The sequence below is a fragment of the Homo sapiens genome, chromosome 16, assembly GCF_000001405.40.
Source record: "Homo sapiens chromosome 16, GRCh38.p14 Primary Assembly".
Lineage (NCBI taxonomy): Eukaryota > Metazoa > Chordata > Mammalia > Primates > Hominidae > Homo > Homo sapiens.
Window position 1 is genome coordinate 86,021,496 of NC_000016.10, and position 17,699 is coordinate 86,039,194.

The 17,699-nt window shown below is 50.8% G+C and overlaps 2 annotated features.

Annotated features, from left to right (window-relative positions):
* Positions 10,564–11,223: an enhancer, noted in NCBI's record as "H3K27ac-H3K4me1 hESC enhancer chr16:86065665-86066324 (GRCh37/hg19 assembly coordinates)". NCBI's record gives its function as "activates a minimal SCP1, AML or CMV promoter by ChIP-STARR-seq in naive H9 embryonic stem cells {active_cell/tissue: H9 hESC(naive)}" and the evidence as "EXISTENCE:reporter gene assay evidence [ECO:0000049][PMID:30033119]".
* Positions 17,196–17,696: an enhancer, noted in NCBI's record as "H3K4me1 hESC enhancer chr16:86072297-86072797 (GRCh37/hg19 assembly coordinates)". NCBI's record gives its function as "activates a minimal SCP1, AML or CMV promoter by ChIP-STARR-seq in naive H9 embryonic stem cells {active_cell/tissue: H9 hESC(naive)}" and the evidence as "EXISTENCE:reporter gene assay evidence [ECO:0000049][PMID:30033119]".

A 17,699-nucleotide genomic window follows, 5' to 3' on the forward strand; every position in this document is an offset into this window, starting at 1 on the left:
GGAGTGCAATGGCGTGATCTCAGCTCACCACAACCTCCACCTCCCGGGTTCAAGCGGTTCTCCTGCCTCAGCCTCCCGAGTAGCTGGGATTACAGGCATGCGCCACCATGCCCGGCTAATTTTGTATTTTTAGTAGAGATGAGGTTTCTCCATGTTGGTCAGGCTGGTCTCGAACTCCTGACCTCAGGTGATCCGCCTGCCTCTGTCGGCCTCTCAAAATGCTGGGAATAGAGGCGTGAGCCACTGCGCCCAGCCGTTTGCGTGTCTTTCTTTCCAGATTCCACTTGCTGCCCATGTGCTGTCAGGTGATTCTCAGTTGACATCTTATCACCGCCATGTCCTAATAATAATAATAATAAAATACGACTTGGAGCACATGCTGGGACCTGCTATAACCTGCACGCCATGAGCTCCTTCAGTTCTATGATGACGCTTTGAAGGGGGAAATTTCACCCCTCCCTGTTTGACAGATGAAGTCACTGGGGCAAAGCCACGCAGCTAGAGCCAAGCTTTGAGGCCAGGCAGCTTTGCACAAAGGCGACTGCACAGACCACCTGTTCTTACTCCTCCTACAGCAGTGACTGAGTTCCTTCCAGCTGAAGGTTCTGTCTGGAGCTCCCAGGACTCTGCGATGGTGAAAACTGCATCCCTGAGAGTCTGTTAATTCCTTCAGGGACCCTCCAAGACTGGGGCTTGACTCAGCTTCCAGCGTAGCCAGGCCTTTCTGGAGTCTTCCAACCCCTGGTATCAGCTCTTTCTCGTGGGAGGCTAAGAGTCCAGAGGATCCAAGTGACCCTGGTCCTTGTCTCTGTCCACCAAAGGCTCCTGAAATAAAACAGAGTTGGTAGATCTGTTTCCAAGTGACAACACCCCTTGTCTGTCCCCACCAGAGGCTCTTGAAATAAAACCCTGAGTTGGTAGGTCTGTTGCTTGCTGCTGAAATGCAAGCTCAGGGCTCCCTGGGTTTTGAACACCATTTGGGGCTCTGAGTACCTGTGGGGGAAGGGAAGCCTTCACTATCAGCATGGCCTCTTCACCCCGCCTGCCCGTCTGCTGACACCTCTGCGGGTGTCTCCTCCTTCTCTGCAGAGGGAGAGATAAGCATCTTTCTAAAGGAGGCAACTGGTCACCTTCTGGCACAAATTAAACCGCAGAGGCTCCTGAGGACATGCCGGGAGTCACTCTGAGCTCCTTGTAACCGTGAGGGGCTGGCTGGCTGCTGGGGCTCTGGGTCCCCCAGACCCATCCATCAGCTGGGCGGCTTTGATTCTGATAGTGGTTTGATCTGCAGTGACAGGAGTGGGGGAGGAGGTTTATGGCCCCCACTTCCCCCAGGCCTTGGAGCTCAGTGGCTCCAGAGGGGACCTTGTCCAGCCAGGTGGTGGCCTGCATCTGGTCTAACAGGCTGCTGGCCTGGAGAATTGACAAGAAACTAGCTACAAACAGCTCCATGTGGGGCTGCAGATCTACGTTTTGAATACTTGTCTCATTTATTACAATAACTTGAGGGTAGGTATTAGTGCATCACTTTTCACATGAGGAAACAGGCTCAGATAGGGTAAGTTGTCTAAGGCTGCCCAGCTAGGAAGCAGAGCTGGGTTTTAGACAGGTCTATCTGACACTATAGCTCAGTGTCTTCTGATTTTCCCCAAAGTTTCCCAAATGGAGGGGCGGGTGGGGCTGACTCTGGGCCCTAAAAAGTCCTGACACCATGGGAGAGAAAAGGCTGTGCTGAGACCTTCTGTTCACATGAAGGAGAAAGTCTCAGGGTGGTTCCAATAGGTCTTTAACCCTCAGTAGCATTTGCTCATCTCTCTTGGGATTTTATTGTTATTGTTGTTTGTTTTGGATACAAATTTGTTTGTTTTAATTTTTTCATATATTAACTTCTTTTTGAAATAATTTCAAGCTTACAGAAGAGTTGCCAGTGTGCAACAACTGAACCTTAGAGTGTAACTTGCCGACCTGATGTGCCTTCACCCCTGGATGCTTGGTGTAAGCCTCCTACACACCAGGACTTTTCCCTGCAGAGCTATAAAAGCGTCATCAAAATCAGCAGCTACACTGGCACATTGTTGCCATGCAACCCTCAGACCATGCTCAACTTTCCCCAGTTGTTTGAAAAAGACTCAGAGCCTTAGACAGCCCTCAGTTTCAAGCTAGGATTTAATAACGTTGTCTTCTTTCGTTTTAACTCGTTTGGATGATTGATTACTTTCTGTTTATTGCTGGCAGCATCAGCTTCCTTTTAAGGTTGTGATATAAATTCCATTATATCTAATATTTTAAAATTTGTTGAGGTTTGTTTTATGACCAGGGTATGGTCTATCTTGGTGAAGGTTCCATGGAGCCTTAAAAAGAGTGTGCATTCTGCTGTTGTTCATTAGAATGTTTTATAAATGTCCATTAGATCCTGTTGGTTGATGGTGCTGTTCGGCTCTTCTATATCCTTGCTGATTTTCTGTCCAGTAGTTTCATCAGTTGCTGGGAGAAGGGCGTTGATGTCTTGAACTATAATTGTGAATTTGTCTGTTTCTTCTTTCAGTTCTATCAGTTTTTGCTTCACATATTTTGAAACTCTACTGTTTGGTGCATACATATTCGAGATTGCTATGTCTTCTTGGTAGATTGACTCTTTTATCATTGTACAATGTCCCTTTTGGTCCCTGATAATTTTCTTTGCTCTAAAGTCCACTTTATTTGATATTAATATAGACAGGCCTCCTTTGTATGGATTAATGTGCTTGAAATATATATATATATATATATATGCATACATACACATACATATATATATATTTAAAACTTTGTCTACCTATGTAACTATATTTGAAGTGAGTTTCTTTTAGACAGTGTATAGTTAGGTCATTAAAAAAAATCATTCTGCCAACCTCTGTCTTTTAATTGGTGTATCTAGGCCATTTACATTTAATGTAATTTTTGACAGAGTAGGACTTAAATCTCCCATTTTATTGATTCTGTTTTTTCCTTCTGTGCATCATTCCTCTATTTCCATTTTCCTATCTTTCTATGGGTTACTTGAACATTTTTAAAAAGAATTCCATTTATATATTTGAGTATATTTCTTTGAATGGTTTTTTAATGGTATTACATTATACATACATATCACAGTCATGAAGTTTTCCTTAAAGTTAATTTAAGTAAAAAAGTGAGCTGATCGAATAAGATATTGAGTAAATAGCAGTTAACACTCACAGAGTGGTTACTCTCTGTTAGGCATTTTCCTAATTGCTTTACAAGTATTAACTCATTTAATTCTCAGATAACGTCATGATGTAGATTATGATTCCTGTTTCCTAGTTAAGGAAACAAAGGGACAGAGAGGTTAAATCACTTGCCAAAAGCCACACAGCCAGTAAGTGGCAGAGTGGGGATTGGGACCCAGGCTGCCTGGCTCAGACTCCGTGTTCCTGACCATCATGTGATGATATGGCAGAAACTGTGAAGGTGGACTGCATGGTCTAAATTTGGGAAACCTTCTACTTGGCCGTATTTGTTTCCAGACCCTCTGCCATGAGATCCTTACTCTCCTGGTAGAAGAAGAGAGAGAAAGGGTGGCTCTGTAGCTGTTTTGAAAATATCATGAAGGTGCAGCCATAGAGAAGCTTGTAGGGCTCTTGTGTTCCCAAGGCTGCCGAGCCCAGGTGTTGGGGGCGGGATGGAGGAAAGGGGAGGAGTGGCCTCTCTGCCATCTAGTGGTGCGCCGCATGCACCCATATGCCACCTGCTCATGCTCTTCAAGGTTGCCCAGACCACCCTCTCTCCCTCACTCCCTCCCTTCCTCCCCAGCTCCCACATCTTTCCTTCCATTCTTCCTTCCATTCTTCTTTCTTTCTTTCTGTCTCTGTCTCTTCCACTTCTCTGCAGGTCTCTTGGCTTATCTCTGTTGGTTTCTGTGAGCATCTCTCTCCTCGTCTCCCTGTCTCCCTGCTCTGTCTCCCTATCTCTGGTCCACAGCCCCACAGCTCTTCACCCTCCTTAGTTGTCTCTTAGCACAGCCCCGGGGCCAGGGCTGAGGCTTTGCGGCCCTGCTTTCAAGCAGACAAGATCAGTCCAATGTTCTGACAAGTGGAGACCTGGTTTCTTTGCCAGCTTCGGTTCTTCTTTGCAGGAGGGTCGGGATTTGGGGAAAGGAAAAAAGCCATATTCTTGAAGAAAGGAGAAGCAGGTTTGGGACCCTCTAAGTTTTGAAAACCCAGACCCTTCCCAGGCAAGCTCATCTCAGGAGGGCAGAGCCAGTCCCCCTGCACATTCTGAGGTAGGTTGCACCAGGGAGCCCAGGCCAGGCTGGCAGGGGAGTGGCCCTGGATAAGAAGCACACCCTCCAAGTCAGGAGGCTCCCCACCCCCGGGGGAGGACAGAGGAGGATGTGTGGGCAAGGCCATTGGCTTCCTGCTCTCCACCTCCTTGCAGATGCCCTGAGGGCCCACGCCTGTCTCCTGGGGAACATGGAGGACTGAGCTGTAGGAGCCAGGAGAGCCAGGTCCCATAGTGGATCAGCTGTGGCCTTCATAGAGGACTGCCCTGGAAATGTCCATGGGACAGGCCCCTGGGAGTGGGAAGACGAATTAGTGGGGGTAGGCAGAGACAGAGAAGGGGCGGGGGGAGAGAGAGAGAGGAGACAGAGAGAGAGAGGGAGAGAGAGAGAGAGAGAGAGAGCTCCAATTACAGAGATCCAAAGAAACCAAGGAGCCCAGACACCATGAGAGAGAGACATTGAGAGCAGTGGGGGAGGCAGGCAGAGGGAGACAGGGCGGTGGCAGCCAGCCTCGCTGCACGTGCCAGGTAGTGGGGCATCCCTGGATGAGGGGGCGGGACTGTGGCCTGGGGGTTAAGCATGCGCGTGGGCTAGGTGGAGCTGCTACCTCCACTGACCCTTCCTAGAGGCCCATCCTGCCCTGCCTGGGGCACCAGCGGGACCTGGGAGCTGGGTTGTGGGTACACCAGGAAGTGTGAGTGTGAGAGTGTGTGTGTGTGTGTGTGTGTGTGTGTGCAGGCCTGCCTAGGGGAGTGTGTATCCCAGTCCACTTTCCTGGAGGAGCCTGGTTCTTCATGCTGGGGGCCTCCCCCTGGGGTCCTCCATCCTGGGGCCTCCCCGGGGGTCCCACACCAGCAGGTTGCTGGGTGGGCAGCAGAGCTCTGTAAGTGAGCCCCACCTCCACTGGGGGTTCGGGGCTGGGGCTCTGTGGCAGCTGCCTGAGGCCTTTGGCTCCAACTAAGCAGCCTGCTCCTTCCCACACGGGCTCTGGGCTGTACCTGTGAGCCATCCTTCACACCCTCTCACTTCCCGCCTCCTTAGCTTTGGCGAGGACTTTGTACAAAGGAATTTGATCTCAGCCCTTGTGATGTGCGCTACAGTGGAAGTGAGAGCGGAGCCTGGGCCGCTGTTGGGGCTGGTACCCCGGCTCTGCCGTTTGCCCTGGGACCACCCTGCTGGGCCTCAGTTTTCTTATCTGTAAAGTGGAGATATGAATAGCACCTACCTCTCAGGGTTCATAGCACAGTCCTAGCTCCTGACTGGAGCCTGCAAACATCAGCCATTTGTATGGTTTGAAAATGTGCCCCTGTGTACTTGCAACCCCCACTCCCCCGCGAAGCCCCCAGGCCCCTTGGTGACGCTGACCAGAGCCTGCTCCAAGTCTGGACCTGGCATCGTAATGGTCTCCCTTGCATCCCTGCCTCTTCCCTGCTGTTTAACCCAGGCAAGTCCTGAACCCTCCAAGCCTCTGTAGAAGGCGGCAGAAAAAACCCTTTTCTTCCCCCAGGCAATGCTCTGTGTAAAGACACTCCACACACACACTCAGGAAATGGAAGGTAATGCTGCTGTTAGAAAGGCAAATTCATCTCACCGCTGGGCCTCTGTATGTGAACAGACTTGGTGCTTTGGAACCAGAAGAAAACTGCTGGGGTCCTGACAGTCCCCTCCCTCCCCGTACTACAGATGAGCAAGCTGAGACCAGGCGAGGGAAACAGCAGAGGAAAAACCAGAACCTGGCCCAGCCCTGCAGCCTCCTTCTTCACCGAGTGCTGCGGACTCTGTTTTGCCTCGTTTCACCTGCAAGTCCCCATCATTGAACTTGTATTTATTTTTATGACTCATACAGGGAACTCGGCAAGCGTGATAAAGTGCGATGTCGGGCAATAAAATGCCTTGTTCCAAAGCCGGTGGCCTGGCAGAGACTGACAGATGTTCCCCAGGGTCTTTCTTAAATAATAGAAATCATAGTTTTTAGCTGGCCACATAGACATCACTGGAAATAAAGACGACATTTCTGAGCCTCCTTGCAGTTAGATGTAGCAAACTGACAAAATTTTGGCCAGTGGCATGTAAGGGAAAGTGTCCTTAAAGAGTATGGGGTGCACATGTATGCCATTATCTTCCTCTTCCTAGCTTGCTAGAATGTGAATGTGATGGCTGGAGCTTTAGCAGCCACATTGGACTATGAGGTAACCTTGGTACTAGAAATCCTTGCCTGGTGGAACAAACAAGATAGAAAGACCCTGGGTCTCCAACCCTTGGCTGCCACTGGGCTTCTTGAACACACAATAAAACACATTTCTATCTTGTTCAAAAACATTGTTAATCTGAGATGTTTTAGCTGAACTTAACCTAATGAATCGACAGGGGCGTATGAAGTGAGGATGGGAAGGGACTGGTCCATCCTGGCAGGGAGGTGGAGTTTATCACAGATGTGTTTGGATCAGCCAGCATGTTACAGTGTGTTTGGGGGGATCCATGCTGGGCTTGGCTTTTACATTTATCTCCAACATAATTCTTATCATCACAAACTACAGCTCAAAAACCTTCATAGAGAAGGCCCACACTTCTTGGCCAGGTGTTGAAGGCCATTCCCACCTTCCTGAGCTTACACCTGCTGTTCACGGTTTGCTTCTGCCCAAGCAGTTTCTGTGACTTGATAAGAAGATTGCACCCACTCCTTCTACCTCCAATACTTGGACCCACTATTCCCTGCACCTCTTGTTCAACACCATTTTCATGAAGCAGTAACACCCAAGGTGAATGCCTCTCTTCTTCTGAGTGTCTTTTATTTCTTTATTTTTTTTTAGAGATGGGGTCTTGCAGTGCTGCCCAGGCTGGAGTGCAGTCATATGATTACAGCTCACTGCAGCCTCAAACTCGCGGGCTCAAGCAACCTTCCTGCCCCCGCCTCCCGAGTAGCTGAGACTACAGGTGCACACCACTATGCCTGGCTAACTTATTTATTTATTTTTGTAGAGATGGGGTCTTACTATGTTGCCCAGGCTGGTCTCAAACTCCTGGCCTCAGACGATCCTCCCACCTCAGCTTCCCAAAGTTCTGGGATTACACTGTGGCCAACCTTCCTCTGAGTTTCTTTCCCACTGTCCATCCTCCTTGGAGGTGCAGGTATTTGTGCATTTATCCCATCTCCCTCGCCCGAGGCCACGTTCCTCGAGGGCAGGATGTTCTAGGCCCTCATTTCCCACTCAGGGTTGGACACAGTGTCCAGTGTCTGGGGGGCAGTGGAGGGGAATGAGCTCTGGGCTGGAGACCGGTGACCCTGGCCTCGAATCCATCTCCACCTCTTCCCAAATGGGTGAGGAGCAGCACCTGATCCCTTAGTCTCAGCTTTCTCAGATGCAAGAGAGGGCTGATAACAGGCTCATCCAAGTCCAAAGTCCAAGCCCCACCTCATCACCCAGGAGGCGCTCAACCATCCTAAGCAGGGCCCGACCCCAGGGCTCTGAGGATGGCTGAGCTCAGGCTGGAAGTGATCAGCATGCCTGGCTCGCACACCTGGCTAGCGACCCTGCACTAGGAAGTAGGGTGGCTCCTCAGGTGACTGTTATGATGAGAAATGCTGGCTGAGCCGAAGTGCATACATTTCCGGGAGAGTGGGAACAAGTTCCCAAGCTCTGGAGGAGGCTACTCTGGAGGCATTCCCTCCTCTCCCCTCTCTGATCCTCTCGCCTTCCAGGCAGCGCCCCATCGACTTTGTTCTGCATGTGGTTTCTAGGGCGCTTTGGTGGAATTGAAAAAACACGGAAATGCCAGCTCAGTTCCCAGCAGTGCCTGGCTCTGCACTGAGCTGGTTCCATCTGCTGTGGCCTGAGACCAAAGCAGCCTCGCGCACTTCTGACGTCTGGCAACGGGGCCCAGCCGGCAGCGGTGGGGGCGGGCTCTCCTCGCCCCCTGGGAGCTCAGCACGCTCAGGCTCCCTTTGAAGCTACTGGGAACTCAGTGCCCAGGGCTGCTCTCAGGGATCAGAGACAGGATGAGGCTCCCGGTCCCAAGAGCACACTCCGGGGGTAACGGGGACTTCCTGAGTCCACTCTTGGCCTGGACAGAGGGGTCAAACCAAGGCCATTCCACAGGTCTGATTAACCATAATTCATTCACTCATTCACCCCCTGGCAAATGTAGCATTTCTTCATTTCTCAGACATGGCTTTGTCATCTGTAAAGTGGGGGTAATAATAGTACCTATTTCATGGGGTTGCTGTGAGGATTAAGTAAGATATTCACGTAAACTGCCTAGACCCAGCAAATGCACATTCTTATAATACAATGTCACAGCTGTGTGTTTGGACTGCAGCCTGGCCCCCTGAGTCCAAACCCAGGCTCCACCACCCACTGGCTCTGTAACCTTGGCCAAGTCATTTGACCTCTTTGGGCCTCAGTTTTCTCACCTATAAATGGGTATAGCCAGGGTCCCCCACTCCCTAGCGTTTTGAGGTGGCATAAGTTAATATTTGCAAAGCACACAGAACACAGCCCGGCACTGAGCAAGCGCTATATCAGTGTTTGTTGAAAAATCCTGTATTCTAGTAAGAGCTAGCAACCAGAGACCCCGATCCTCGGTCCTCTGCTCGAATGTATTAAGAATGTCCATTCTCCCCTGACTATCAGCCATGGCGGGGTAGAAAGGAAGACAGGGGACGGACTGAGAGGAGAAGTAACGCATCATCCCTGAGCTGGAGGAGCCTCTCATTTGCGATATTTTGTGTCTGAAGAAACTGGGGCTCAAAGAGAGGATGTGACTTACCCCAGGCCCCGTAGTAAGGAAGTGCTGGGGTTGGGATCTGAACCCAGGTCATCTGTTTCCAAGACCTGTGGATCCCAAGACCATGAGACAAAGTGACCCCAGCAAAGTGGCCAAGTCAAAGGAGCCGGAATGGGGCTAAGCCCATTAGTATTGGCTGACACAATAAAAGACTTGGTTTTTCAGTCTATGTAAGTGAATGTTCTGGAGACAGGGTGGGTGTCAGAGTTGGTTTGCTTCAGCTCCTGATGGTGTTACCAAGGGACCCAATTTCTTTCCTTCTCTCTGCTGTGCTGTCTGCCATTTTAGTTCATCCTCAGGTTGGCTTCCCTCTTCATTGCAAAAGAGCTGCAGGAGTTCCAGGCATCCCTTTACACACCACCTCATTCACAAGGAGAAAGAGCCGGTTGCTAGGAGAGGCCTCTTCTTTCCCAGAAGCCTCCAGCACATCCCCATGCCATCTCTCTGGCTCCAGCTGGGTCACATGCCCATTTCTCCATCAATCCCTCTGGGCTGAGGAATAACTCACTCTGATTGGTTTAGGTCTGACTTACCAGGGGTGAGCGTGCTGACAAGGATTCACATCTGATCTTGCAGTAGAATCAGCCCCTCCCCAACCTATGTCTAAAATCACAAAAAGGCAGGATGCAGGAGATCTTGGGGACACCTCTGTGATGCCCACCTACTGTATGCCAGGCTTTGTACCAGGCCCTGGGGTCACAGTGAACAGGACATTAACCTGTGGGCTCAGAAGCTCAGACCTGCTGTGAGAGACAGATGAGAAAGCAGGGATGTGACGTGCCATGTGACCCACATCATGAAAGGTGAGCATGGGGAAAGGGTGGCTGACCCAGCTTGGGAATGGCCAGGAAAGTGTTCTGGAGAATTTAACCTGAGACCCAAGTAGGTGAATGGAAAGGGCTGCAAATTAGAGGGAGTGTGATGTGCTCTGTGATTGATTAGTGATGTCTGCTGTGGGTGGGGAGTAGCAGCGGAAAGGCAAGTGAGTTACGCACTGAGAAAGCGAATCCACTTAAAACTGGACCCACCTTTCAGAGCAAATTGGGACTTTATCTGAAAAAATACCCCAGCATTATGAAAATAAGCTCATAAAAATACGGTGTTTAATAAAACTAGATGTATAATTGCAACTGTGAGCTAATTCTTAGACCACTGTGGATAGTTATGTTGCATATATATATATATATATATAATATTTTTTTTTTGAGGCAGGATCTTTCTCTGTGGCCCAGGCTGGAGTGCAGTGGTGCAACTGGCTCACTGCAGCCTCATCCTCCTGGGCTCAAGTGATTCTCCCATCTCAGCCTCCGAAGTAGCTGGGATTACAGGAGCATCCCACCGTGCCTGGTTAATTTTTTGTTTTATTTTTGTGGAGACAGGTTCTCCCTATGTTGCCCAAGCTGGTCTCGAACTCCCAGGCTCAAGCGACCTTCTGCCTCAGCCTCACAAAGTACTGGGATTACAGGCATGAACTAACTATACCATGCCTGGCCAACCTTGCATAATTTTATGACTTTTTTTTGACAGTGTGAGACAGCTCAAATCCAATGACTGATCAATGTGGGGGTTTGAGGGCCCAAACCTCTTGCTCCAGCAGAGGACAGCTGGGAAGATCCCTTCTACCCCACATGGGCACAGGGAGAACTTGAGCTGTGATGCAGTTTCAAGAAAGGCATTGGCTGTCCCCGCAGGAATCAGCAGTGCTGAGGCTCCTCTTGAAACTGCATTACAGCCACTGCTGCCTCTGCACAGGCCAGCTCCTTTCCTTTCTTTCCCCTCCCAGCAGCCCCCACCACCCAAACCATCTGCAAACCAGGAGTCTGCCTCCTGGGGAGCCCAACAGGACAATTGCTACAGTCCTTTGCTGGAAGGTTTATTTTTCTTTCTTCTTTCTTGGAAGTGTGGGTGGGGAGTGCATGTTTCTGAGCAGCAATCCAATCAATCACAGATTGATTCCAAACCCAGATGAGACAACCTCAGATCAAGTTCTTTAGGGCCACGAAGCATCCTTAATTCAGGAAAACCCAGCCCTTGGGATATAGCTGCCCCGCCCCCACCTCTCTCTCTCTCTCTCTCTCTCTCTCTCTCTCTCTCTCTCTCTCGCTTTCTCCACTATGCTTCCTACCAAAGCCAAATTCCTTCTGCCTCCACCCTGACCTGGCCAGGCCAATTTTCCCTTAATGCTCAATTTCACCTGCCAATTTGTGAGACAAGACTTCCTCTATCCTGCCTTGCGGAGGCCCCTCAGGGACTCACTCTCCGAGGGCGTCCCCTACTTCACACAGGCTCTTCTCAGGGTGTATTTGGAGAAGAAGCCTGGGATTTCTAAGCCCCACTCCCAAGCAGGCGGGAAGAGCCTTCTTTTGCCTGCATGCTTGCATTTTCTAAGAGGTTTTTCTTATGGGAGTAATTGGAGCAGGCTTCATTTATCCCACAAAGAGCAAGCCTTCGCGAGGTCACACAGAGAATGCCAGGCTTGTCCAATGTTGTGGTGCAAAGCTCCCCGCAATAAGAGGCAGGAAAATGGTTGGGCTCCAGCCGGCAGAGGCGGGGCTGTGATCAAAGCCGTGTCCTCCCCAAACTCAAGCCTGTGACTGCAGCTGGGCCATCCTCCCTCCCGCTGCCACCTGAGGAGAGCCTCCAGCTGGCCCAGGCGTCATCCATGGCCGGCCAGCCTCTCCAGGCAGTTTGCCTCCCTGGACTGTGGGGAGGACCTCACGGCGCCTCCCTCCTGGTGTCCCCGGTTGGCTTCACACACTCTCCCCAGAGCCCGTTTGGCCACGTTTGAGGAGGGATCCTGCGGAGTTTCCAGGGCGCTCCTCTGTCTTGCCTCCTCGAGGCAGTGAGAACGTGGTTTCCCACGTGCCTGTCCGGGCTGTGAGCGACTTGCTGGCTATGGCTTCATTCTCCTGGGGGAGCCTCAGCATCTGCCTTCTTTCCCTTTTTCTCTCAGCTGAGGGCTGGGTTGTGCATGGGCCAGGGAGGTTCTGAGAGATGAGACTGGGGGAAGGGGCTGCAGAAGGCCGGGTTGGGGGACGCTCTGCAGGGAGAAACTCAAGCCATCCATGGCCTTCCTCTCGTTAGTCAATTAGGGGAAAGTTTCATTTTTACTGTTGCACCTTTTCTGACAGGGTGAAGCAGCTTACAGCCACTGACTGATCAATGGGTTTAAGGGCCCAGAACTCTTGCTTCAGCAGAGGACAGCTGGGAAGATCCCTTCTAAGCTGCATGGGCACAGGGAGAATTTGAGCTTGATGCGGTCTCATTACAGAGTTTTGCATATTTTGCTCCAGGTTTGTTGAGGTTAGAAGCAGCAGAAAAATATCGAGTTGTCTTTTCCAAAATCCTGGTCAGTGCCACAAGAGTGACTGTAATCTATGGGAAGTGTCATCCAGGGTCAGGGTCTTGTAACAGAGATTTGAACCTGGGCAGACTGGCCCTGACTTTCAGATCACCCTGGGCAACCAGTGTCCTTGTTTCTGGGCTGGAAGAGCCTTGGGGAGTCCCAGAAAGTCTTTGGAGGGAGTGATTGAGAGCTAGGCTCTGGAGGGCACCAGCCTTGAGTCCAAGCCCTGCCATTGCCAGGCTGGGCAAGGTCCCCAGCACACCAGGTCTCAGGCCAGGCTGGGCAAGGCCCCCAGCACGCCAGGTCTCAGGCCAGGCTGGGCAAGGCCCCCAGCACGCCAGGTCTCAGTTTCTTCATCTGTAAAACTAGGCTTCCCTGGGGTGGATAGTGGGTTCAGAAAGATACGTGTGAGTCCTAACACATACTGTGCCGTGGGTTTAGTTGTGTCCCCAAAAAGATATGTGCAAGTCTTCACCCTCCTACCTGTGAATGTGACCTTATTTGTACCAAGGGCCTTTGCAGATGTGAGCAAGTTAAGGTGAGGCCATACTGGAGTAGGGTGGACCCTAAATCCAATCTGACTGAGGTCCTTAAAAGAAGAGGGAAATTCAGATGCAGACGCACAGAGGGCCGAGACTGCAGAGATGCAGCTTCCAGCAGAGGAATGCCGAAGGTGGCCCTTAGCCACTAGCAGCTGGAGCGAGGCCTGGAGCAATCCTCCCTCAGAGCCTCCAGACAGAGACAGCCCTGCCGACACCTTGATTTCTGGAGTGGCTTTCAGAACTGGGAGAGAATCCATTTCTGCTGTTTTAAGAACCCCCAGTTCATGCTAATTTGTCTCGGCAGCCCTGGTTCACGAATACACGGCAGGAGGTTAAGTGCTAAAGCTGTTGAATGCGTCCTACACACTCCGTGCACATTAGCTACTGTTTTAACTGTTGTCCTTGAGTTTTCCCCGAAATGCTGTCTCCCCATGGAGCTGAAGGGAGTGCACTGCTGTGCGCACAGGAAGATGTTGGATTTTGAGGGGTCCCAAATAGCCATGCAGTGGAACACGTGTGAATGTCGGCTCTGAAGTCAGCCCGTCTGCAGCCATCTCCTGCTCTTCCACTTGTTGACAGTGTGCCCTTGCATAAATTATCCAGCCTCTGATAGCCTCAGTTTACTCATCTGTAAAGTGGGACAATAATTGTATTTATTTGGGTTGGGTGAAATAATACGGGCAAGGTACTTATCCCTGGTGCACAGCAAGTGGTGAAGATGCGTTAGCTGTTATTGTTGTTGTGAGGGGCGGAGCTTCCCCCAAGGCTAAGACTGCCTTGGGTTTGCCTGAAGATGGGTGTAGTGGGTTGAAGAGTGTCCCACCAAATTCATGTATTTGCAGAACCTGAGAATGTGACTTTGTTTGGAAACGGGATGTTTGGAAGTGTAATTGGTTAAGGATGAAATCATCCTGCATCTAGGGTGGCCCTAAATGCAATGACTAAGTGTTGTTATAAAACATTAGATAAGGGCCGAGTGCGGTGGCTCACACCTGTAATCCCAGCACTTTGGGAGGCCAAGGTGGGTGGATCATGAGGTCAGGAGATTGAGACCAACCTGGCCAACATGGTGAAACCCCGTCTCTACTAAAAATACAAAAATTAGCCAGGTGTGGTGGCATGCACCTGTAGTCCCAGCTACTCTGGAGGCTGAGGCAGGCGAATCGCTTGAATCCAGGAGGTGGAGGTTGCAGTGAGCTGAGATCGCACCACTGCACTCAAGCCTGGGCGACAGAGGGAGATTCCGTCTGCAAAAAAAAAAAAAAAAAGAGACAACACAGAGACAGAGGAGAAGCCCACGTGAGGCTGGAGTGATGTGGCCACAAACCAAGGAACACCTGGAGCCACCAGGAGCTAGAAGGCTGGCTGGAAGAGGCAGGAAGGTACTTCCCTAGAGCCTCTGGAGGGAGTGGAGCCCTGCCCACACCTTGATTGCAGACTTCTGGCCTCCGGAGCTGGGAGAGAATATATTTCTGTTGTTTTAAGCAACCCCAGATCAGGGTACTTGCTGTGGTAGCCCCAGAAAGCAAATACGAGGGAGACTGAGAGCCTCAGTCTTTGAGATCCTGTCATCACTGCCTCTCGAGTCGCCATGGGCATGTGGCCTCAGGCCGTCAGCATCTCAGGGTGTTGGCTCTGCTCAAAGCCATCCGTCCTCGTCCACATTGCACCTTGTCCAGGCCTTCTTCGAGTTGGTCACCTGAGCCTATTATTGACGGTTTGGCTGTCCTCCCCGTTGCAAGCATGGGGATGGTGCGATGCTGCCATTTGTCAAACAAGAGCCCCGGAAAGCCAGAGGTACAACCAAAGACAGAAAAATAAGAACCATGAGCAGTCGCGGTGCCTCTATTATTTTCCCAGGACGATTGCTCTTTTCCTCCAATGGGCCTGGGGAAGAAGCAATTCTCACAGATCCTCCTCAACATGAAGGGTGTCAGGGTCCCTGCAGATTTGGCTGGAGCTCCAGACCTCCTCTGTGATTTGGTTGCCAAGGCCGGATGTGCCCAGCGAGCACTTGAAATGAGGCCTGTGCAACTAAGAAACTGAATTTTTAAAATTAATTCTGTTTTAATTAATTTTAATTTAAACTCCGGTCCTTGATTCAGTTATTAAGAAAACTCACGTATGTTTGGAACAACCTGCTATGTGAATCTGCCTTTTTGACTGTAAATTTTATGAACTCTAAATACAGATCACGTCTTTCCAATGGAAATTTAACATTCAAATTGAAGTGTGCTGTACGTGTAAAATATACACCAGATTTTGAAGACCTAGTATGAAAAAAAGAATGTAGGCCAGATGCAGTGGCTCGTGTCTATAATTCCACCACTTTGGGAGGTCAAGGTGGGAGGATCGCTTGAGCCCAGGAGTTCTAGACCAGCCTGGGCAATGTAGTCAGACCCTGTCTCTAAAAAAAAAAAAAAAAAATAGCTGGGCATGGTGGCATGCACCTGTAACCCCAGCTGCTCAGGAGGCTGAGATGGGAGGATTCCTTGAGCCTGGCAGATTGAGGCTGCGGTGAGTCATGACCATATCACCGCGCTCTGGACTGGATGACAGAACTAGACCCTGTCTCAAAAAAAAAAAAAAAAAGTAAAATACCCCCCTTTATTTATTTTTTGAGAGGGAGTCTCACTCTGTCGCCAGGGCTGGAGTGCAGTGGCGTGATCTTGGCTCACTGCAACCTCCACCTCCCCGATTCAAGATTCTCCCACCTCAGCCTCCCAAGTAGTTGGGATTACAGGTGCCTGCCACCACAGCCGGCTGATTTTTGTATCTTTAGTAGAGATGGGGTTTCACCATGTTGGCCAGGCTGGTCTTGAACTCCCGACCTCAGGTGATCCACCCGCCTCGGCCTCCCAAAGTGCTAGGATTACAGGCATGAGCCACCAGGCCTGGGCTGCCATTATACTTTTTATATGGATTATAGGTTTTGGATATTTTGAGTTAAATAAAATACATTATTAAAATTAGTATTTCTCCCCCTTTTTAAAAATTTTACAATGTGACAATTAAAGAATTTACAATTACATACATGGCTTGCATGATTTCTTTTAGACAGCACTGGTCTAGAAACCAAGCTGGAAGTTTGGAACGGATGTGCGTTTTAATCTCCACCAATACAGGGCTTTGTGACTTGGGGAAACTGCGAGCTCCCTCCGGACCTCAGGTTTCCAACACCAAATTAAGGACGGGACTCGCCTGGTGGATTCAGGGTATTGAGGGGAACTTGAGAGGGGTAGAGCTTTGAAAACCACCACCAGGTTCGTTGACCCCAATTCCTTTCTACTGTGACTTCATGGTTCGACCGAGGACTGGCTCACACTATTTCCTCTCGCAGGCTGAGCAGGTGATGGCGCTTGCAACAGGGTTGCTGGGCACAGTTGTGCAGGTCGTTGACTGCACACAGGAGCCTTTCCTGATTTCCATGAAAGTGCTCTGTGCCCATGGAGAAGAATGTCAAGATTTCTAGATTGGAATGGCATTTCCATTTAAAAGCACTTGCCTATCATCTAGATGTATAAATACCGTAAGGGCCCTCTGTTTCCTGAGGCCACTTAGGAATCTGGAGGGAAGGTCTCCGGGATGAGGAATACATTTGCAGAGAAGGAAGAGGGTTGTTGTTGGTTGCAGCGGTGGGGTGGAGAGAGTATTCCTGCCCAATCTCTCCTTTGTAGAGACTTGCATCTTCAAAATGGCCATCTCGGGCGCTCAATATTGAAAGCTGCTCCACGTGGATCCTTGAAACTCTCACCCTGATGAGAGTGGGCAGTGCTGCTGGCTCGGTTTGCATGGAATCGGTCTCTCCCGGTATTTCCTGAGTGCCTGCAGCACCCATAGGATCAGCTCACAGTGCGGCGACCCCTCTCCTTCCCGGCTCCAGGAGGTCTCTATGCTCCAACTCCCACATCTAGGTGGGCCAGGTGCCTCACTTGCTGAAGGAATGGGAACAGGAGCGGTGTGGGCCATTCTGGGCCTTGCATGAGTGTGTGGAGCTCCCTGCAGAGCGGCCCCCGGACTGTGTCCTGAGCAGAAGCACACTTGGACTGTGTGACCCCCCTGCTTGTCACAGTGGTGGGCACATGGACTAGCACAGTGTGGGGGAGGGGCTGGTCCTTGCTTGCCCTAAAGGGCTGCACTTCCAGGCAGCAGGGAATGGAGCGGGCACAGCCTTTGTTAGAGTGTCCAGGCCTCCCCGCATTGGCCTGGGCTTCCCTGCAGAGCTTCCCTGTGCCATGGGGAGGAGGAAGGTTTCCCAGCTTCCTGTCCTGCTTCCCAGGACTCAGCGCGCTCCCCATGGCCTCCACCCTGCCACCCTTCTCCACACGTGGGTAATTAGCAGCTGCTGGCCAGAGGCTGGCTGTGAGCCAAGGCATTTTCTCTGCCTGGGAAAAAAAGAAAATGAGGTTATAAGTTCCAAGCCATGGAAACCACCTAGAACTCCGAGGCTGTTTTGCCGAGCACCGTCCGTGTGGAGTTTTGGAGGGGCACGGAATCCCCAGCGCCAGGATGACCGCCTTCCCTCGGCCTTGAGGCTCTGCTCTCCCCCGGGCCCTTGCTTGGCACAAGGAAGGAGGCCTGGAGGATGCTGGATGCTTCTGGACTTCCCAGTGTGCAGGAGCCTGGAGGGAAGGGGGTGGTGGGTGGGTGAGTGGGGAAGGAAGGGGACTGGGCGGACCAGAGGGAGTTTCCCAGAGGGTCGTTGTTGGTGTGGCATGGGGGTGGCTTAGTGGAGCCTCTGTTCTCC